General features: G+C 40.4%; 1 protein-coding gene across 1 annotated transcript in view; it reads right to left on the bottom strand.

Moving 5' to 3' along the window:
• HYCC1 (hyccin PI4KA lipid kinase complex subunit 1) overlaps positions 1-23,194 on the bottom strand; it is a 118,288-nt gene that overhangs the window by 15,025 nt on the left and 80,069 nt on the right. The gene's annotated exons all lie outside the window — the stretch shown is intronic.

Genomic DNA, 23,194 nt, shown 5'->3' on the forward strand with positions numbered 1-23,194 from the left:
TTCACTCAAAAAAAAAAACCATGCAGAAATCCACAGAAACTATGTCACTCTCATTATTCATAATGTTTATATTTTATTATATTAAGCTGTATTATACAACAATTAGGGCTTATCTTTTCGGACTTGTGCATTTTGAGAACTTTGGGTTTTAGTATAAATGAAGCCTACAGCTGATAACATTTCATGGCAAGACTAAAGTAATAACTATGTAAAGTGCTCATTTACATGGCTTTTCATTTCAGGAACAGAAAGGAAGAAATATAGGAGTTCTTACCATTGTATGATAGCATCTGGGGACAAATACTGAAATTGGACCTGTGCGATGGCCATCAATTTGGTGGCTGCTATCAAGGAAACAGGGGCCTTGTAAATGAGAGCAACATTGTGTAGGCTGGTTTTGTTTTGGCTCATTTGTTTATTGTTAATTACAAGCAATTGACCTAGTACTAGATTTTTGTTTTGTTTTTATACCAAGCAATTCTTTGATAATCAGTCTCACTGTTTTAGAAGAAAACTTCAGCAATGTCTTTGGCAGCAAGATAATTTACTCCTAAAATAGTCCCTAGAGACAAATAATTTATTGTTCTCATACCTACATTAAAGTTCAAAAGGCCAGGCGCAGTGGCTCACGCCTGTAATCTCAGCACTTTGGGAGCCCGAGGTGGGCGGATCACGAGGTCAAGAGATGGAGACCATCCTAGCCAACATGGTGAAACCGTGTCTCCACTAAAAATACAAAAATCAGCTGGGCGTGGTGGCGCACACCTGTAGTCCCAGCTACTCAGGAGGCTGAGGCAGAAGAATCGCTTGAACCTGGGAGGCGGAGGTTGCAGTGAGCTGAGATCGCACCACTGCATTCCAGCCTGGTGACACAGCAAGACTCCATATCAAAAAATCGTAATAATAATACAAATAAAAAGGTTCGACTTCTCTGAAATGTTTCTAATCCCAGTACTATATTTTTGAAGTGAATTCTAACTAAATGTTTCTGATCATGTAGCCTCAACTTAGCAGAACATCTTTATCCTCTTTTCAAAGAGAATAATCAGTGAAATAAGAAGAGACAAATGTGTTTGAAGCTTGGCTAGTGATTTTGCCATAAAAATATATTCATTGGCTACATAGAAGACCACAAAATGTTTTTAAAACCAATGTTTATGGTCATTTGTCTTCTAAACTTAAGTAGTTTCCACTTCTGGTATGGCAGCATGAGAAACTCCAAGGACCCACTTTCTGGCATACAAGCATAGCTGATAAAAACTATTTTAAAACAACTATTTAAAGTCTCTGGAAATTCTCCAAAGCATACAGCAAATGAAGAAACATTTATTAAAGAAAATCCACTAAAACTCAGAAGGAACCAATAAGAGTATGTGGAATTTGAGTCATGACCCTCTCCCAACTTTATTCACCCAGCTCAGCTTGACAGAAGCTCCACTCCAGGTGGATACAACCAGGAAGATGGGAGTTCCCTCTCTCCTCAGCTCCTAATCAAGGGGTACCATATCTTAACAGGAGGGTAGAATGCCAACATTTCTCAAGGCCTCCAACTCCAACTTCAAAAGGAAAAATTCCAGGAGAGTATAGCCAGGAGATTGGGAGCTCCCTTCCTCCACCTAACACTCACACATAAAATGGAGGGTCTACCCCAAGTGCAGCCGGCCAAGCTGGGATAACCCCAGTGACCTTTGCTTCAGCTTGCTCAAGTTAGCAAGGAGAGGGAAGCCAAGAAGATCAGAGGCTACTGCCCCACCCAGAATAGTGCTTCAGAGATTTTTCCTATGGGGAGAGTTAGTTCATCAGAAAAGAGAGTTCCAATCTTTCCCCAAAGTAACTGACCATTTGAAAGAGAATGTGGGAAAGTTCAAGCCTAAGGGTGTTCTAGAAAACAACAGCTTTTCTTAATTAAGAGCACCAGCTAAAGCATGTACCTGCTATTTCACCAAAGAGAACCAAGGAAAGTGACAGCTAAGAAGTACTCTCTGCTGGGCATGGTGGCTCACACCTGTAATCCCAGCACTTTGGGAAGCCAAGACGGGTGGATCACCTGAGGTCAGGAGTTCGAGGCCAGCCTGGATGAAACCTGTCTCTAGTAAAAATACAAAAATTAGCTGGGTGTGGTGGTGGGCGCTTGTAATCCCAGCTACTTGGGAAGCTGAGGCAGGAGAATCAATTGAACCTAGGAGGCGGAGGTTGCAGTGAGCTGAGACAGCACCACTGCACTCCAGCCAGGGCAACAAGAGCGAAACTCCATCTTGGAAAAAAAAAAAAGAAGTACTCTCCTGGGGTCAGACTAAACCTAGTCTCAAAAACTAAAACTAAAGACTAGTCTCAAAAACTACCCCTGCCTAAGTTTAATTGGATCAGACTGCAGAGCAATTTATGCCCCAGGGCATTGTTGAAAACAATAGAGGAATCAGCTGTTAATTCTTGGAGTCTACAGTTGGGTGTGATACCAAATGAGGCAGAGAGCTTAACAGAGAAACTAGGGGAAAAGATAGTCAAAGAATGTCCTGCCAAAATCACTGTCATCCGACTTCACTGTGTGCACACCCAAGGCAATGCCCTCCTAGGAGTCATACCCGGCACAGTAGGAGTGTCAGGCCTCTGAGCCCAAGCCTGCGTGTATACATCCAGATGGCCTGAAGCAACTGAAGAATCACTAAAGAAGTGAAAATGGCTGGTTCCCGCCTTAACTGATGACATTACCTTGTGACATTCCTTCTCCTGGACAATAAGTCTCTGGAGCTCCCTTGTGACCCCTGCCCCTGCCCACAAGAAAACAACTCCCTTTTACTGTAATTTTCCACTACTTACCCAAACCCTATAAAACTGCCACACCTCTAACTCCTTTTGCTGACTCTCTTTTCAGACTCAGCCCACCTACACCTAGGTGAAATAAACAGCTTTACTGCTCACACAACGCCTGTTTGCTGGTATCTTCACACGGACACGTGTGACATTTGGTGCCAAAGACCCAGGACAGGAGGACTCCTTTGGGAGATCAGTCCCCTGTCCTCACCCTCACTCCATGAGGAGATCCACCTATGACCTCAGGTCCTCAGAACAACCAGCCCAAGGAACATCTCACCAATTTCAAATTGGGTAAGCAGTCTTTTCACTCTCTTCTCCAGCCTCTCTCACTACCCTTCAATCTCCCTTTCCTTCCAATTCCAGTTCTTTTTCCTCTCTAGTAGAAACAAAGGAGGCACATTTTATCTGTGGACCCAAAACTCCGTAGCTGGTCACAGACTCAGGAAGACAGTCTTCCCTTGGTGTTTAATCACTGTGGGGACACCTGCCTGATTATTCACCCACACTCCATTGGTGTCTGATCACCGCGGGGACGCCTGCCCTGGTCATTCACCCACATTCCCTTGGTGGCAAGTCAATTGCGGGGACGCCCGCTTTGGCTGCTCACCCACATTGCAGCCCAGGGCTGCTCACCACCCCCCTTCTCCGTGTCTCTACCCTCTCTTTTCTCTGGGCTTGCCTCCTTCACTATGGGCAAACTTCCACCGTCTATTCCCCCTTCTTCTCCCTTAGCCTGTGTTCTCAAAAACAAAACCTCTTCAACTCTCGCCTGACCTAAAACCTAAGCATTTTTTTTTTCTGCAACACCACTTGGCCCCGATACAAACTTGATAATGGTTCTAAATAGCCAGAAAATGGCACTTTTGATTTCTCCATCTTACAAGACCTGGATGATTTTTGTCAAAAAATGGGCAAATGGTCTGGGGTGCCTGACGTCCAGGCATTCTTTTACACATTGGTCCCTCCCTAGTCTCTGCTCCCAATGCAACTCGTCCCAAATCTTTCTTCTTTCTCTCCTGTTCCTTCGGTCTCCACCTCAAGCTCTGAGTCCTTTGAATCCTCCTTTTTTACGGACCCATCTGACCTCTCCCCTCCTCCCCAGTCTGCTCCTCATGAGGCCAAGCCAGGTCCCAATTCTTCCTCAGCCTCCGCTCCCCTACTCTATAATCCTTCTATCACCTCCCCTCCTTATACCTGGTCCAGATTATAATTTCGTTCCGTGACTAGCCCTCTCCCACCTGCCCAAAAATTTCCTCTTAAAGAGGTGGCCGGAGCTGAAGGCATAGCCAAGGCTAATGCTCCTTTTTCTTTATCCGACCTCTCCCAAATCAGTTGGCGTTTAGGTTCTTTTTCATCAAATATAAAAACTCAGCCCAGTTCATGGCCCATTTGGCAACAACCCTTAGACGCTTTACCACCCCAGACCCAGAGGGGCCAGAAGGCCATCTTATTCTCAATATACATTTTATTACCCAATCCACTCCCAGCATTGCAAAAAGGTCCAAAAATCAGATTCCGGCCCTCAAACCCCACAACAGGACTTAATTAACCTCGCCTTCAAGGTGTACAATAATAGAGAAGAGTTGCAATTACTTGCCTCTGCTGTGAGAGAAACCCCAGACACATCTCCAGCACAAAAGAACTTCAAAACGCCTAAGCCATAGCGGTCAGGTATTCCTTCGGGACCTCATCCCCCAGGATCTTGCTTCAAGTGCTGGAAATCTGGCCACTGGGCCAAGGAATGCCTGCAGCCCAGGATTCCTCCTAAGCCATGTCCCATCTGTGCAGGACCCCACTGGAAATCAGACTGTCCACCTTGCCTGGCAGCCACTCGCAGAATCCCTGGAACTCTGGCCCAAGGCTCTCTGACTGACTCCTTCCCAGATCTCGGCTTAGCGGCTTAAGACTGACACTGCCTGATTGCCTCGGAAGCCTCCTGGACCATCACAGATGCTTTGGGTAGATCTTACAGTGGAGGGCAAGTCCATCCCCTTCTTAATACGGAGGCTACCTACTCTGCATTACATTCTTTTCAAAGGCCTGTTTCCCTTGCCTCCATAATTGTTGTGGGTATGGACAGCCGGGCTTCTAAACCTCTTAAAACTCCCCAACTCTGGTGCCAACTTGGACAACATTCTTTTATGGGCTTCTTTTTAGTTATCCCCACCTGCCCAGCTCCCTTATTAGGTCGAGACTTTTTAACTAAATTATCTGCTTCCCTGACTATTCCTAGGCTACAACCACACCTCATTGTTGCCCTTTTCCCAAATTCAAAGCCTCCTTCACATCCTCCCCTTGTATCTCCCACCTTAATCCACAAGTATGGGACACTTTTACTCCTTCCCTGGTGACCAATCATGCACCCCTTACCATCCCATTAAAACCTAATCACCCTTACCCCGCTCAATGCCAATATCCCATCCCACAGCATGCTTTAAAAGGATTAAAGCCTGTTATCGCTCGCCTGTTACAGCATGGCCTTTTAAAGCCTATAAACTCTCCTTACAATTCCCCCATTTTACCATCCAAAAACCGGACAAGTCTTACAGGTTAGTTCAGGATCTGCGCCTTATCAACCAAATTGTCTTGCCTATCCACCCATGGTGCCTAACCCATATACTCTCCTATCCTAAATACCTCCCTCCACAACCCAATATTCTGCTCTAGATAAACCTAGCTGACCCCATAAATCCTAAATCCTCTCCACACTCCCCTTTCCATTCCTTAAAAAACAGCCCTAAAAGCTGCTCCCACAATAGCTCTCCCTAACTCATCCCAACCTTTTTCATTACACGCAGGCAAAGTACAGGGCCGTGCAGTCAAAATTCTTACACAAGAGCCAGGACCACATCCTGTAGCCTTTCTGTCCAAACAACTTAACCTTACTGTTTTAGGCTGGCCCCCACATTATTCCTGATACCACACCTGACCCACATGATTGTATCTCTCTGATCCACCTGATATTCACTCCATTTCCCCATATTTCCTTCTTTCCTGTTCCTCACCCTGATCGCACTTGGTTTATTGATGGCAGTTCTACCAGGCCTAATTGCCACTCACCAGCAAAGGCAGGCTATGCTATAGTATCTTTCACATCTATCCTTGAGGCTACCACTCTGCCCCCTCCACTACCTCTCAGCAAGCTGAACTCATTGCCTTAACTCGGGCCCTCACTCTTGCAAAAGGACTATGTGTTAATATTTATACTGACTGTAAATATGCCTTCCATATCCTGCACCACCATGCTGTTATATAGGCTGAAAGAGGTTTCCTCACTACACAAGGGTCCTCCATCATTAATGCCTCTTTAATAAAAACTCTTCTCAAGGTCGCTTTACTTCCCAAGGAAGCTGGAGTCATTCACTGCTAGGGCCATCAAAAGGTGTCAGATCCCATCGCTCAGGGTAATGCTTATGCTGCTAAGGTAGCTAAAAAAGCAGCTAGCATTCCAACTTCTGTCCCTCACGGCAGTTTTTCTCCTTCTCATCGGTCACTCCCACTTACTCCCCCACTGAAACTTCCACCTGTCAATCTCTTCCCACACAAGGCAAATGGTTCTTGAACAAGGAAAATATCTCCTTCCAGCCTCACAGGCCCATTCTATTCTGTTGTCATTTCATAACCTCTTCCATGCAGGTTACACGCTGCTAGCCCGCCTCTTAGAATCTCTCATTTCCTTTCCATCGTGGAAATCTATTCTCAAGGAAATAACTTCTCAGTGTTCCATCTGCTATTCTACGACTCCTGAGGGATTGTTCAGGCCCCCTCTCTTCCCTACACATCAAGCTCGGGGATTTGCCCCTGTCCAGGACTGGCAAATTGACTTTACTCACATGCCCCGAGTCAGGAAACTAAAATACCTCTTGGTCTGGGTAGACACTTTCACTGGATGGGTAGAGGCCTTTCCCACAGGGCCTGAAAAGGCCACTGTGGTCATTTCTTCCCTTCCGTCAGACATAATTCCTGGGTTTGGCCTTCCCACCTCTATAATACAGTCTGATAACGGATTGGCCTTTATTAGTCAAATCGCCCAAGCAGTTTCTCAGGCTCTTGGTATTCAGTGGCTCCTGGTTTTACCTCAAACCACCACCCTTAAGTCTCTCTTAAAGTGGATAAAAGATCTTCAGTGGCAAGGTACAATCCAATACTTTCACCCTGATAAAGTCTTATTCTTTACTTTCATAGTCACTCTTATTCTCGTTCCCATTCTTATGCCATCCTCTACCTCTCCCCAGCTATCTCCACCACACTATCAATCTCACTCCTAGCCATTTCTAATCCTTCTTTAACAAACAATTGCTGGCTTTGCATTTCTCTTTCCTCCAAAATTGCTGAGGCCTCAACTTACTGCTTAAAAAAAGAGGACTCTGTATATTTTTAAAAGAAGAGTGTTGTTTTTACCTAAAATCAATCTAGCCTGGTATATGACAATATAAAAAAACTCAAGAATAGACCCCAAAACTCGCCAACCAAGCAAATAATCACACTGAACCCCCTTAGGCACTCTGATTGGATGTCATGGGTCCTCCCAATCTTAGTCCTTTAATACCTGATTTTCTCCTTCTTTTATTTGGACCTTGGGTCTTCCATTTAGCTTCTCAATTCATACAAAACCATATCCAGGCCATCACTAATCATGCTGTATGACAAATGCTATTTGTAACAACCCCACAATATCATCCCTTACCACAAAATCTTCCTTCAGCTTAATCTCTCCCATTCTAGGTTTCCATGCCACCCCTAATCCCACTAGAAGCAGCCCTGGGAAACATGGCCCATTATCTCTCCATACCACCCCCAAAAATTTTTGCCACCCCAACACTTCAACACTATTTTGTTTTATTTTTCTTATGAATATAAGAAGACAGGAATGTCAGGCCTCTGAGCCCAAGCCTGCACGTATACATCCAGATGGCCTGAAGCAAATGAAGAATCACTAAAGAAGTGAAAATGGCCGATTCCTGCCTTAACTGATGACATTACCTTGTGACATTCCTTCTCCTGGACAATAAGTCTCTGGAGCTCCCCACTGAGCACCTTGTGACCCCCCACCCCTGCCCGCAAGAGAACAACCCCCTTTGACTGTAATTTTCCACTACCCACCCAAATCCTATAAAACTGCCCCACCCCTAACTCCCTTTGCTGACTCTCTTTTCAGACTCAGCCCACCTGCACCCAGGTGATTAAAAAGCTTTATTGCTCAAAGAAAACTTGTTTGGTGGTCTCTTCACATGGACGCATGTGACAAGGAGACAACAGATTTCATTAAAATAGTATAGCCAAGTCACAAAAACACACTCAAGCCAATAACAAAAACAAGTCCCAGAGAGGGAGAGAAAAATCCATATCCATAGTCCCAACAATGTATTACCTAAAATGTCCAATTTTCATAAAAAATTCTGAGACATGCAAAGAAACAGAAACGTGTGAGGCATACATGGGAACAAAAAAATTGCATGTGAGAGGGGCTAGATTTCAGATTTAATAGACAAAGCCTTCAAAGTAGCCATTATATACGTACAAAGAACTCAAGTAAATGATGCATTAAAAAGTAAAGCAAATTGAGGCCAGGCGCCGTGGCTCACACCTGTAATCCCAGCATTTTGGGAGGCCAAGGCAGGGGGATCACCTGAAGTTGAGCGTTTGAGACCAGCCTGGCCAACATGGCGAAACCCCATCTCTACTAAAAACACAAAAATTACCCAGGTGTGGTGGCACGTGCCTGTAATCCCAACTTCTCAGAAGGCTGAGGCAGAAGAATCACTTGAACCCGGGAGGCAGAGGTTGTAGTGAGCCGAGATCACACCACTGCACTCCAGCCTGGAAAACAGAGGAAGATTCTGTCTCAAAAAAAATTAGTAAAGGAAGTTATGATGACCATGTCCCATCAAGTAGAGAGTATCAATTAGGAGATATGAATTATTAAAAAAAAAAAACTAATAATGGAAATACTGGAATTGAAAAGTAGAATAACTGAAATGAAAATTTAATAGAGGGGCTCAACTAAACTAGATTTAAAGTGTCAGAAGAATCAACAAACTTAAGATAGATTGACAGAGATTAGACAATCAGAAGAACAGAAAGAAAAACAGAATGAAGAAAAATTAAAAGAGTCCCAGAGAAATATGGGAAACTTTTAAGTGCACCAACATTCACATAAGGAGAATATCAGAAGAAGGAAAAAGAAGAAAACAGAAAAAAAAACTATTTGAAGAAATGATAGCATAAAATGTTTAAATATGTTGAGAAAACATTAATCTACATATCTGAGCTCAATGAACTCCAAGGAAAATAGATGCAAAGAGATACAAATTCAGACACATGAGAGTAAAAATGCTGAAAACAAAGATAAAAAGGAAATATTGCCCAGGCACAGTGGTTCATGCCTGTAATCCCAGCACTTTGGGAGGCAAAGGACGAAGGATAGCTTGAACCCAGGAGTTTGACAGTAGCCTTGACAACATAGGGTGGTGTGATTTTTTTGTAGATCCTGCCTCCACAAAAAAATATTTTAAGCTAGGTAGGCATGGTGGCATATACCTGTAGTCCCAGCTACTTGAGAGGCTGAGGTGGAAGGATCTCTTCAATGCTGCAGTGAGCCATGATTGTGCCACTGCACTCCAGCCTGAGTGACAGAGTGAGACCTGTATTTAAAAAATAATAATAAAAATAAAAAGAACAAAAGAAAAGAAAATCTTGAAAGCAGGAAAGAAAAACATCTTATCACATATAAGAGATCCCAAATAAGGTTAGTATTTGACTAACCTTAGGCAATAGAATAACATATGCAAAATGCTGAAAGGAAAAACAGTCAACATTGAATCTTATATCTAGCAAAAACATCTTTTAAAAATGAAGATGAAATAAAGACATTCTCAAATAAACAAAACTGAAAAAAAATCATTGCTCGCAGAGATATTTTACAAGAAAGACCAAAGGAAGTTCTTCAGGCTGAAAGCAAGTAAACTCAAATGAAAGTATAAATCCACATGAAAAAACAAAAAGTATGGGTAAAGGTAAAAATATATACCGGCATAAATGCATATTTCTTCTTTTTTCTTTTTGTTATGGTTGGAATGTGTGTCCCCTACAAATCTCGTGTTGAAATGTGATTCTCAATGTTGGAGGTGGGGCCTGGTGACAGCTGAGTAGATCATGAGGGTGGATCCCTCATGCATGACTTAGCACCATCCCCATGGTGATGAGTTCTTGCTCAGCTAGTTCATGTGAGATCTGGTTGCTTAAAAGCATATGCACCTCCCCACCCTCTCTCTTGCTCCCTCTCTTGCCATGTGAAGCACTAGCTCCCTGTTTCCCTTCTGCCATGATTATAAGCTTCCTAAGGCCTCTCCAGAAACAGATGCTGGCACCATGCTACCTGTACAGCCTGCAGAACTGTGAGCCAATTAAACCTCTTGTCTTTAAAATTAACCAGCCTCAGGTATTTCTTTATAGCAATGCAAAAATGAGCTAACACATTTCTCTTGGCTGATTTACAAAGCAAGTATATAAAACTACATGTATGTATGTATATATGTTTGCATGTACATATGTATGTATTCTTGGGCCTAAAACATATAGAAATGAATACTTTGCAAAAACAGAATAAAGGCAGTAGCTTGGGGCAAAATATTGGACTAGGAAAATAATACCAGATGGTAACTCAAACACACAAGAACAAATAAAAAGTATCAAGGTAAAGAAGAAGTTAAATATAGCAAACACTATAAATATATACTTTCTCCTCTTTCTTTTTCCATCTTTAATAGACACAAAATTACATAAAGTAATAATTGTAACAATGTATTCTTGGGTTTGTAGAATATAAATATTTGGTATGTATAACAACAATAGCACAAAAAAAGGGAAAGAGGAAGTGGAGTAACATTTCTACATCTCAGTGGAATTAAGTTACTGTTGTCCCTTGGTATACATAGGGGATTAGTTCCACACGGCTCCCCACACCCATGTGTCCCATAGAACTCACATAGTGAGGATTATGGGTAAAAATAATAGCAACATAAATTCATATTTTTAAAAATATGAATTTTTAAAATTCTGTCAGCCTTGCAGAACCTGCATATACAAAAAGTCAGCCCTTCATATACACAGGTTTCACATTCAATTGAGAAACCTTCAAGCCAAGTTTGGTTGAAAAAAATCCATGTACAAGTAGATCCATACAGTTCAAATCCACATTGCTCAAGGGTCAACTGTAACAAATCTGAAGCTGACTCTGATAGGTTAATATGTATAGGAAAGCTCTAGAGCAAACAGTAAGAAAAACTCAAAAGCCTACAGTGAAAAAAATCATTAAATGAGTTTGAAAATGTTTCTCTAGACAATATTCATTTAATGCAAAAGAAATTAGTAAAGGAAAAATAGAGGAACAAAAAACACATGAGACCCATGGAAAACAAAAAATCAAACGGCATAATCTAACTTTATGAATAATAAAGTTAATCTAACTTTATGAATAATAAAGTTAATCTAACTTTATGATTAATAATATTTATTACTAATAAACATAATCTAACTTTATGAATAATATTAAGTGCAAATGATCAAAATATCCAATTGAAAGACAGCGATTGTCAGATTGGATAAAAAGCAAGATCCAACCACAGATGCTCTCAATTTACGATAGGGTTATGTCCTGATAAACTCATCATAAGCTGAAAATATTATAAGTCAAAAATGCATTTAATACATCCAGCCTACTATATCATAGCTTAGCTTAGCCCACCTTGAACATGCTCAGACCACTTACGTTAGCATGGCTGGCAGGGAGCTGCAGCTTACTGCCACTGCCTGGCATCACAAGAGAGTACTGTGCTGTATATTGCTAGCCCAAGAAAAGATCAAACTTCAAAGTTCAAAGTATGATTTCTACTAAATTCATATCACTTTCACACCATTGTAAAGTTAAAAAGTCATAAGTTGAACCATTATAAGTCAGGGACCATCTGTATATGTTGTCTACAGAATACACACTTTAGATTCAAAGACAGAAAAATGTTGACAGTAAAAGTATGGGAAAAGATATGTCATGCAAACAGCAAACATAAAAAAACTACAGTGGCCATACTAATATCAGACAAAATAGACTTTAAAACAAAAAAGCACTAGAAATAAATAGGGACATTTTATAATGATAAAAGTGTCAACCCATCAGGAAGCTATAACAATTAGAAATACATATACACCTAACAACAGAACCCTACAACATGTGAAGTAAAAAATGAGAATTGAAAGAAGAAATACACAATTTAACAATAATAGTGAGATACTTCAATACTCCACTTTCAATCATAGATAGAACAACTATGCAGAAGATCAACAAGAAAACCAAAGACTTAAAGAGCACTACACACAAATTTGACCTAACACACATTGGTAGAACACTTCACCCAACAACAACAAAATACTCATATTTAAGTGTGCATGAAACCATCTCAGGAATAGATCATATGTCAGGTCACAAAACATGTCTCAATAAACTTAAAAGGACATACATAATACAAAGTATGCTCTCCAACCATAGGAATAAAAATAGAAATTATTAACAGAAAGGAATGTGGGAAATTCACAAATATGTAGAAATAAAACAACATACTGCTAAATAACCAAACGGTCAAAGAAGAAAGCACAAGTAAATTCAGACTTTTAGATGAATGAAAATGAAAATACAACATATCCAAACTTGTTGGACATGGCTAAAGCAGTACTTGGAGGGAAATTTATAGATGTAACTTCCTATATTAAAAAAGAAGAAATATCTCAAATCAATAACCTAATCTTCCATATTAAGTACACTGTAAAAAGAAAAGAACGAAACTCAAAGCAAGAGGAAGAAAATAGTAAGAATTAGAGCAGAAATTAAAGAAACAGGAAATAGAAAAATGAGAGAAAATAAACAAAAAAGAAGTTTATCTTTCAAAAAAATCAGTAAAATTGACAAACCTTTAGCTAGACTGAATAAGATTAAGACAAGACTCATGTTGCACAAATTAGAAGTAAAATAGGGGGCATTACTACTGGCCTTACAAAATAAAGGAAATTTAGGAATCAAATAAAATAATTACATGGAAATACTATAAACAACTGTATGCCAACACATTAGATAACCTAGATGAAATGGACAAATTACTAGAAGGTACAAACTACCGAAAATGATTTAAAAAGAAATAGAAGGCTGGGTATGGTGGCTCATGCCTGTAATCACAGCACTTTGGAAAGCCCAGGCAGGCAGATCACTTGAGGTCAGGAGTTCAAGATCAGCCTGGCCAACACGGCAAAACCCTGACTTTAATGAAAAAAAAAAAAAAAAAAACCCAAAAAAACCCAAATTAGCCAGTGCGGTGGTGCACGCCTGTAATCCCAGCTACTTGAGAAGCTGAGGTGTGAGAATTGCTTGAACCCAGGGGGTGAAAGTTGCAGTGAGGGAGATCATGTCACTGCACTCCAACCTGGGTGACAGAGCGAGACTCTGTATCAAAAAAAAAAAAAAAAAAGGGGGGTGGAGCCAAGATGGCCGAATAGGAACAGCTGCAGCCTACAGCTCCCAGCATGAGCGATGCAGAAGACGGGTGATTTCCGCATTTCCAACTGAGGTAACGGGTTCATCTCACTGGGGAGTGCCGGACAGTGGGTGCAGGACAGTGGGTGCAGCGCACTGTGTGTGAGCCGAAGCAGGGCGAGGCATTGCCTCACCCGGGAAACACAAGGGGTCAGGGAATTCCCTTTCCTAGTCAAAGAAAGGGGTGACAGACGGTACCTGGAAAATCGGGTCACTCCCACCCTAATACTGTGCTTTTCCAACGGGCTTAACAAACAGCACACCAGGAGATTATATCCCGCACATGGCTCCGAGGGTCCTACACCCATAGAGCCTTGCTCATTGCTAGCACAGCAGTCTGAGATCAAACTGCAAGGCGGCAGCAAGGCTGGGGGAGGGGCACCCGCCATTGCTCAGGCTTGAGTAGGTAAACAAAGTGGCTGGGAAGCTCGAACTGGGTGGAGCCCACCACAGCTCAAGGAGGCCTGCCTGCCTCTGTAGGCTCCACCTCTGGGGGCAGGGCACAGACAAACAAAAGACAGCAATAACCTCTGCAGACTTAAATATCCCTGTCTGACAGCTTTGAAGAGAGTAGTGGTTCTCCCAGCATGCAGTTTGAGATCTGAGAATGGGCAGACTGCCTCCTCAAGTAGGTCCCTGACTCCCGAGTAGCCTAACTGGGAGGCACCCCCCAGTAGGCGGGGACTGACACCTCACACAGCCGGGTACTCCTCTGAGCCAAAACTTCCAGAGGAACAATCAGGCAGCAGCATTTGCGGCTCACCAATACCAGCTGTTCTGCAGCCACCGCTGCTGATACCCAGGCAAACAGAGTCTGAAGTGGACCTCCAGTAAACTCCAACAGACCTGCAGCTGAGGGTCCTGACTGTTAGAAGGAAAACTAACAAACAGAAAGGACATCCACACCAAAAACCCATCTGTACGTCACCATCATCAAAGACCAAAGGTAGATAAAACCACAAAGATGGGGAAAAAACAGAGCAGAAAAACCGGAAACTCTAAAAATCAGAGCGCCTCTCCTCCTCCAAAGGAACGCAGCTCCTCACCAGCAACAGAACAAAGCTGAGCGGAGAATAACTTTGATGAGTTGAGAGAGGAAGGCTCCAGAAGATCAAGCTACTCCGAGCTAAAGGAGGAAGTTCGAACCAACGGCAAAGAAGTTAAAAACTTTGAAAAAAAATTAGACAAATGGCTAACTAGAATAACCAATGCAGAGAAGTCCTTAAAGGACCTGATGGAGCTGAAAACCACGGCACGAGAACTACGTGACAAATGCACAAGCCTCGGTAACCAATGAAATGAACTGGAAGAAAGGGTATCAGTGATGGAAGACAAAATGAATGAAATGAAGCGTGAAGAGAAGTTTAGAGAAAAAAGAAGAGAAAGAAACGAACAAATCCTCCAAGAAATACGGGACTATGTGAAAAGATCAAATCTACATCTAATTGGTGTATCTAAAAGTGATGGGGAGAATGGAACCGAGTTGGAAAACACTCTGCAGGATATTATCCAGGAGAACTTCCCCAATCTAGCAAGGCAGGCCAACATTCAAATTCAGGAAATACAGAGAATGCTACAAAGATACTCCTCGAGAAGAACAACTCCAAGACACATAATTGTCAGATTCACCAAAGTTGAAATGAAGGAAAAAATGTTAAGGGCAGCCAGAGAGAAAGGTCGGGTTACCCACAAAGGGAAGCCCATCAGACTAACAGCTGATCTCTCGGCAGAAACTCTACAAGCCACAAAAGAGTGGAGGCCAATATTCAACATTCTTAAAGAAAAGAATTTTCAACCCAGAATTTCATATCCAGCCAAACTAAGCTTCATAAGTGAAGGAGAAACAAAATACTTTACAGACAAGCAAATGCTGAGAGATTTTGTCACCACCAGGCCTGCCCTAAAAGAGCTCCTGAAGGAAGCACTAAACATGGAAAGGAACAACCGGTACCAGCCACTGCAAAAACATGCCAAATTGTAAAGACCATCAAGGCTAGGAAGAAACTGCATCAACTAACGAGCAAAATAACCAGCTAACATCATAATGACAGGATCAAATTCACACATAACAATACTAACCTTAAATGTAAATGGGCTAAATGCTCCAATTAAAAGGCACTGACTGGCAAATTGGATAAAGAGTCAAGACCCATCAGTGTGTTGTATTCAGGAAACTCATCTCACGTGCAGAGACACATATAGGCTCAAAATAAAGGGATGGAGGAAGATCTACCAAGCAAATGGAAAACAAAAAAAGGCAGGGGTTCCAATCCTAGTCTCAGATAAAACAGACTTTAAACCAACAAAGATCAAAAGAAACAAAGAAGGCCATTACATAATGGTAAAGGGATCAATTCAACAAGAAAAGCTAACTATCCTAAATATATATGCACCCAATACAGGAGCACCCAGATTCATAAAGCAAGTCCCGAGTGACCTACAAAGAGACTTAGACTCCCACACAATAATAATGGGAGACTTTAACACCCCACTGTCAACATTAGACAGATCAACGAGACAGAAAGTCAACAAGGATATCCAGGAATTGAACTCAGCTCTGCACCAAGCAGACCTAATAGACATCTACAGAACTCTCCACCCCAAATCAACAGAATATACATTCTTTTCAGCACCACACCACACCTACTCCAAAATTGACCACATAGTTGGAAGTAAAGCACTCCTCAGCAAATGTAAAAGAACAGAAATTATAACAAACTGTCTCTCAGACCACAGTGCAATGAACTAGAACTCAGGATTAAGAAACTCACTCAAAACTGCTCAACTACATGGAAACTGAACAACCTGCTCCTGAATGACTACTGGATACATAACGAAATGAAGGCAGAAATAAAGATGTTCTTTGAAACCAACGAGAACAAAGATACAACATACCAGAATCTCTGGGACACATTCAAAGAAGTGTGTAGAGGGAAATTTATAGCACTAAATGCCCACAAGAGAAAGCAGGAAAGATCTAAAACTGACACCCTAACATCACAATTAAAAGAACTAGAGAAGCAAGAGCAAACACATTCAAAAGCTAGCAGAAGGCAAGAAATAACTAAGATCAGAGCAGAACTGAAGGAAATAGAGACACAAAAAAGCCTTCAAAAAAAATCAATGAATCCAGGAGCTGGTTTTTTGAAAAGATCAACAAAATTGATAGACTGCTAGCAAGACTAATAAAGAAGAAAAGAGAGAAGAATCAAATAGACGCAATAAAAAATGACAAAGGGGATATCACCACCAATCCCACAGAAATGCAAACTACCATCAGAGAATACTATAAACACCTCTACGCAAATAAACTAGAAGATCTAGAAGAAATGGATAAATTCCTCGACACATACACTCTCCCAAGACTAAACCAGGAAGAAGTTGAATTTCTGAATAGACTAATAGCAGGCTCTGAAATTGAGGCAATAATTAATAGCTTCCCAACTAAAAAAAGTCCAGGACCAGATGGATTCACAGCTGAATTCTACCAGAGGTACAAGGAGGAGCTGGTACCATTCTTTCTGAAACTATTCCAATCAAGAGAAAAAGAGAGAATCCTCCCTAACTCATTTTATGAGGCCAGCATCATCCTGATACCAAAGCCTGGTAGAGACACAACCAAAAAAGAGAATTTTAGACCAATATCCTTGATGAACATTGATGCAAAAATCCTCAATAAAATACTGGCAAACCGAATCCAGCAACACATCAAAAAGCTTATCCACCATGATCAAGTGGGCTTCATCCCTGGGATGCAAGGCTGGTTCAATATACGAAAATCAATAAACGTAATCCAGCATATAAACAGAACCAAAGACAAAAACCACATGATTATCTCAATAGATGCAGAAAAGGCCTTTGACAAAATTCAACAACCCTTCATGCTAAAAACTCTCAATAAATTAGGTATTGATGGGATGTATCTCAAAATAATAAGAGCTATCTATGACAAACCCACAGCCAATATCATACTGAATGGACAAAAACTGGAAGCATTTCCTTTGAAAACTGGCACAAGACAGGGATGCCCTCTCTCACCACTCCTATTCAACATAGTGTTGGAAGTTCTGGCCAGGGCAATTAGGCAGGAGAAGGAAATAAAGGGCACTCAATTAGGAAAAGAGGAAGTCAAATTTTCCCTGTTTGCAGATGACATGATTGTATATCTAGAAAACCCCATAGTCTCAGCCCAAAATCTCCTTAAGCTGATAAGCAACTTCAGCAAAGTCTCAGGATACAAAATCAATGTGAAAAAATCATAAGCATTCTTATACACCAATAACAGACAAACAGAGAGCCAAATCACGAGTGAACTCCCATTCACAATTGCTTCAAAGAGAATAAAATACCTAGGAATCCAACTTACAAGGGATGTGAAGGACCTCTTCAAGGAGAACTACAAACCACTGCTCAACGAAATAAAAGAGGATACAAACAAATGGAAGAACATTCCATGCTCATGGGTAGGAAGAATCAGTATCATAAAAATGGCCATACTGCCCAAGGTAATTTATAGATTCAATGCCATCCCCATCAAGCTACCAATGACTTTCTTCACAGAACTGGAAAAAAAAAACTACTTTAAAGTTCATAGGGAACCAAAAAAGAGCCCGCATTGCCAAGTCAATCCTAAGCCAAAAGAACAAAGCTGGAGGCATCATGCTACCTGACTTCAAACTACACTACAAGGCTACAGTAACCAAAACAGCATGGTACTGGTACCAAAACAGAGATATAGACCAATGGAACAGAACAGAGCCCTCAGAAATAATGCCACATATCTACAACTACCTGATCTTTGACAAACCTGACAAAAACAAGCAATGGGGAAAGGATTCCCTATTTAATAAATGGTGCTGGGAAAACTGGCTAGCCATATGTAGAAAGCTGAAACTGGACCCCTTCCTTACACCTTATACAAAAATTAATTCAAGATGGATTAAAGACTTACATGTTAGACCTAAAACCACAAAAACCCTCGAAGAAAACCTAGGCAATACCATTCAGGACATAGGCATGGGCAAGGACTTCATGTCTAAAACACCAAAAGCAATGGCAACAAAAGTGAAAATTGACAAATGGGATCTATTTAAACTAAAGAGCTTCTGCACAGCAAAAGAAACCACCATCAGAGTGAACAGGCAACCTACAAAATGGGAGAACATTTTTGCAACCTACTCAATCTGACAAAGGGCTAATATCCAGAATCTACAATGAACTCAAACAAATTTACAAGAAAAAAACAAACAACCGCATCAAAAAGTGGGCCAAGGATATGAACAGACACTTCTCAAAAGAAGACATTTATGCAGCCAAAAAACACGTGAAAAAATGCTCATCATCACTGACCATCAGAGAAATGCAAATCAAAACCACAATGAGATACCATCTCACACCAGTTAGAATGGTGATCATTAAAAAGTCAGGAAACAACAGGTGCTGGAGAGGATGTGGAGAAATAGGAACACTTTTACACTGTTGGTGGACTGTAAACTAGTTCAACCATTGTGGAAGTCAGTGTGGCGATTCCTCAAGGATCTAGAACTAGAAATACCATTTGACCCAGCCATCCCATTACTGGGTATATACCCAAAGGATTATAAATCATGCTGCTATAAAGACACGTGCACACGTATGTTTATAGCGGCACTATTCACAATAGCAAAGACTTGGAACCAACCCAAATGTCCAACAATGATAGACTGGATTAAGAAAATGTGGTACATATACACCATGGAATACTATGCAGCCATAAAAAATGATGAGTTCATGTCCTTTGTAGGGACATGGATGAAGCTGGAAACCATCATTCTCAGCAAACTATCGCAAGGACAAAAAACCAAACACTGCATGTTCTCACTCATAGGTGGGAATTGAACAAAGAGAACACATGGACACAGGAAGGGGAACATCACACACCGGGGACTGTTGTGGGGTGGGGGGAGGGGGGAGGGATAGCCTTAGGAGATATACCTAATGCTAAATGATGAGTTAATGGGTGCAGCACACCAACATGGCACATGTATACATATGTAACAAACCTGCACATTGTGCACATGTACCCTAAAACTTAGAAGTATAATAATTAAAAAAAAAAAAGAATTAGAAACAAAGTAAAAAGAAAAAGAAAAAGAAAAAAAAAAAAGAAAAGAAAGAAGAAGAAATAGAAAATCAGAACAGATCTATAAAAGTAAAGAGATAAACTAGTAATCAAAAAAAACTTTGCACAAAGAAAATACTGTGGTTGAAGGCCTAGTGGTTTCCCTGGTGAATTCTGCCAAACATTTAAAGAATAATTCATAACAATACCCCATAATTTCTTCCAAAAAATAGAGAAGGGGGGAACTCATTATTTGAAGCCACTATTACCCTGACACAAGGCCAGAAAAAACATCATAAGAAAATAAAAATACAGAGTAATATTCCCCATGAGTAGAGATGTAAAACTCCTCAACAAAATACTAGCAAATCAAATAATCAAAGAAACATAAAAAGAATTTTTATGGTGTAAAGAATTTTACACCATTACCAAGTGGGCTTCACTCCAGGAATGCAAGGTTGGTTTATCATTCAAAAAATAAATTAATGTGCTACCCCATATTAATAGAATAAATGACAAAAACTACATGTTCGTCTCAATACTTACAGAGAAAACATCTGACAAAATTCAACATTCATTCATGATGATTTTAAAAACACTCAACAAACTACAAATATCAAGCAACTTCCTCAATGTGATAAAGAACATGTGAGATAAACCCACAGTTTGCATCATAACGTGAAAGACAGAATCTCAGAATATAATCTTACCTGGAAATAGTGTCTCTGCAAATGAAATTAGTTAGGATGAAGTCATATAGGATTAAGATACGCCCCAAATCCAATGACTAGTATCCTTTTAAGGCCACATGAAGACACACAGGAAAGAAGGCCATCTAATGACAGAGACAGAATGGAATGAGGCAGCTAGAAGACAAGGAATGCCAAAAAAAAAGAAAAAAAAAAAAAAAAAACCAGCCTGTCACCACTACGAGTGGTGACACTTCTACACCCTTCAAAGGGAGCATAGGCCTTGAATTCAGGCTTTTAGCCTCCAGAACTGTGAGAGAATAAATTTCTGTTGTTTTAAGCCACAGAGTTTGAGGTAATTTGTTACAGTACCCATAGGAAACTAATATAGATTTTAGTACCAGGGCATGGGGTGCTGCCATAACAAATATCTGAAATTGTGGAAGGGACTTTGGAATTGGTTAATGGGTAGAGGCTGAAAGAATTTTGAGATACATGATAGAAAACCTAAATTGCTTTAAAAAGTTTGCTGGTGGAAATATGGGCATTAAAGGTGATTTTGGTGAGGGCTCAAAGGAAAAGAAGAGAATAGTAGAGTTTCTATCACTTTAGGTAACACATATGTCATCATGATTAGACTGATGGTAAAAATGTGAACATTGAAGATGCTTCTGGTGAGGTCAGAAGGAATTGAAACACATGATTAAAAAACTGGAGGAAAGGTGATTACTGTTATAAAGTGGCAGTAGAGCTGACTGAATTGTGTTCTAGATTTGGATGGAAAGTAAAAATTGTGAGATATAAACTTGGAGATTTAGTGGAGAACATTTGCAAGCAAAGTGTGGAAGATGTGATCTTATTTCTCCTTGCTTCTTATAGTATAAATGCAAGAGGTGTGAGATAAATTGAGAAGGGAACTATTATGTGAAAGGAACCAGCATTTGCTGCCTGAAAAAATTCTCAGCCTATCTAGATAGCAAAAGATGAGAAAATATGGTCTGGAGAGAACACCAAAGGCGTGGTGGACAAAAGTTTGTTGATGAGATATGCGACTTACAAATACAATCAACCATCTTATCAGAAGCCACAAATAGAGATGGAGTTATCTAGAAACAAATCTATGCAAGACTCCCTTGTCTAATGGCTTGAACGCCCATGAGCTGCATAGGAAGCAGACAGGTTTTTGAGGATTTTGTGCCAGTAGGAACACTGCCAGCCTGTACTAAAAGGGGTAAAGATGGGGTAAAATGAAAGAAGTCTGGCTCCAAGGACTGAGCCATGGATGCAGTAGATGGGGTCATTATTGCTGCAGCCCAGAAGATGGAGCACCAAGTCACAGAGAATTATTCTTACATCTTGAATCTTAATGGAATCAGGAAACCTGTTGGCTAACAGAGGCCCCTTTATTCCTTCAAATTTCTCCCTTTTTGATTGGAAATATCTCTCTTATGTTTGTCCCACCATTGTATTTTGGAAGCAGATACCTTATTTTCTGGTTTCACAGGTCCACAGATGAGAAATTTTCCCCAGGATGAACCATACCCAGATTCTCACCAATACCTAATTTTGATAATGAGATTTAGGACTTTTTTAGTTGATGATATTTAGATGAGATTTTGAACTTATAAGTGATGCTGGAATGGGCTAAGACTTTGAAGGATGCTGAGATTAGGTAAATGTATTTTGCATGTGGGATGAATGTGAATTTTGGGGAGTCACAGGGACGACTGTATGGGATTGAATGATGATCCCCCAAAACACATTGGTCTAAAACCTCAGAATTTCACCTTATTTGGAAATAGAATCTTTGCAGATGTAGTTAGCTAAGTTGGAGTCATAATGGGTTAGAGTGAACCCTAAATCCAATAACTGGTGTTCTTATAAAAAGGTCATATGAAAATACTCAGGAAAGAAAGCCCTGTGACAACAGAAGTAGAGATTGGAGTGATGCAGCTACAAGCCAAGACCTGCCAGGAACCACCAGAAGTTAGGAAGTAGCAAGAAAAGATTTTTTAGAGCCTTCAAAGGGGATATTTTCCTGCTGACACCTTGATTTCACACAGCCTTCAGAACCATGAGAGAATAAATTCTCTTGTATTAAGTCATGCAGTTTGTGGTGTTTTGTTACAACAGTTCTAGGAAGCTAATTCATCAACCTTGAATTATTGTGATAAATCTTTATCTTCTACCTAGGTATTGTATCCATTACTGAAAGTAAAATATTGAAATCTCCAACTGCTACCAAATTGTCGGTTTCTCCCTTCAATTCTGTTAATTTTTGCTTCGTGTATTTTGGGGTTAGGTGCATGCATGTTCATAATTGTTATATTTTTGTGATAGTTGACCTTTTCATCATTATAAAATTTCTCTTTATCTCTAATAACAATTTTCTTTGTTTTGATTTAAAGTCTAATGGTCTGATATTAGTGTAGCCATTCTGCCTCTCTTAGATGGTTGCTGTTTGCATGGTATAGCACTTTGGATCCTTTTATTTTAAACCTATTTGTGTCTTGTGTCTTTGAATCCAAGGCATGTCTCTTGTAGTCACCATATAGTTTGATCTTTTGAAAAAAAATCCAGTCTGACAATCTCTTTCTTTTGATTAATCCATTCTTCAATATGCATAAATATGTATGTTTTGCATTAATTCTGGAATTTTGAATTTTTAAAATAGATTCTGATTCTCATGAAATTCTCCATCTTTACTCATTAATCAAAGCTATTTTTTAAGTCTGTCTCTGATAACACTAATAACTGGGTCATCTGTGGATGTTTTTATTGCCTTTTCCCTCATAGTTCAGATTTTTAATATTCTTTGAAATTTTTGACACAATGTTAGCTATTAGATATGATACATTTTATAGTGTCTGGATGATATATTCCTGGTGGGAAGATAGAGTGGTGGCAGGCAGACTGCATTAATTCAATCAATCATTCAGTTGACTTGAAGCTAAGTTACAATTTTTATAAGGTATAATTTACTTTGATTCTCCTGTTTGTATCTCTACAGAG

The sequence above is a fragment of the Homo sapiens genome, chromosome 7 (assembly GCF_000001405.40).
Source record: "Homo sapiens chromosome 7, GRCh38.p14 Primary Assembly".
In the NCBI taxonomy this organism is placed as follows: Eukaryota; Metazoa; Chordata; class Mammalia; order Primates; family Hominidae; genus Homo; species Homo sapiens.